The sequence below is a fragment of the Homo sapiens genome, chromosome 11, assembly GCF_000001405.40.
Source record: "Homo sapiens chromosome 11, GRCh38.p14 Primary Assembly".
Lineage (NCBI taxonomy): Eukaryota > Metazoa > Chordata > Mammalia > Primates > Hominidae > Homo > Homo sapiens.
Genome location: NC_000011.10, coordinates 81,869,590 through 81,870,713, shown reverse-complemented (window position 1 = coordinate 81,870,713; position 1,124 = coordinate 81,869,590). Strand labels below are relative to the sequence as shown.

At 38.3% G+C, this 1,124-nt stretch overlaps 1 annotated feature.

Annotated features, from left to right (window-relative positions):
- Positions 601 to 670: an enhancer, noted in NCBI's record as "active region_5331". NCBI's record gives its function as "activates an Ori minimal core promoter by ATAC-STARR-seq in GM12878 lymphoblastoid cells {active_cell/tissue: GM12878}" and the evidence as "EXISTENCE:reporter gene assay evidence [ECO:0000049][PMID:35858748]".

The window sequence follows — 1,124 nt, the reverse complement described above, 5'->3', positions numbered from 1 at the left end:
ATGCTACTTCAGTTGATAGCTGTTTTACCAGGAGCTTGCTATTTAGCATATGTAAATTGTCTACTTTAATGTCTAGAACATCGTCACTATAATGTTTCTTTTTGTCTCAAAACACAACTAAAATGTTAAAATTAAACTTCTTTTACCAAGTTCTCATGGTTTTTTGCTCATAAATCTATTAGAGGGACTATATTGCAATTGTTATTTTCTTTTACATGGATCTTCACTCTTTATCCTTTACCAGAGAGTTTTGGGTACAAGAGCTCTCCATTTTCATCCCTGTATCCACAGTGGTTGGACCACTGAATGTTCTTAATACAGAGAGAGTAAAAGAATGTGCTTAAAGTTGTTGTTAGTGGGCTGGTTCAGTTTCTTGACTTTGCTGCACCAACGAATTTGAGAGAGAGTCTAAAGTAAAGGTAGGCGAGGAAACTTTATTGCAAAGTGAAACTACACTCTGCTAGGTCACAGTAGGCTGCTCCACAATGAGACAACACCAACTAACACTGGAGAAACTCCTTCTACAGGAGTCTTACATGATTAGTTGTGAAGGGGTGGAAATGTGCATTGTTGTTAAGCGTATTGTGGGTGGTCTCCTTAATGCCCATGTGCTATTGTTGTACATGCTAGTATATACCTCATATGTCTTATTAGCATTTTAATTCTCCACCCACTGATGTGGTTTTCATTATTATAATGAGCATAGGTCAGCCCAAGTATACTAATCATAGGTTTCTGCATTTGCATGAATTTGGGGATTTTCCCTTCTGTTCTTTTACCTCCTTGCTGCAGGATGCTCTAACCACAAGCCCAGGATGTGGTTTGGCCACTATTGAGTGGTTTGTTCTCTCCATCTATTTGGTAAGTTTGTTCCTCTTTAAGAGAGCATATAACCACACTATCTAATCTACCTTAATGTCACATCTGTACTAGATGCCATACAAGCACCACAGAGCAGCATGAGAAGATATTTTCTATTCCTCTGGATTTTATATCCCTCTTCACACAACATGGAACTCCTTTTCATATCAAATCACCAAAGCTGTTTCACATGAACTGCTCTGTGGGTTAAGGGGAAAAATAAGAGCCATTGTTTCACAGTGTCTTGCCATTTGGGGTGTAAT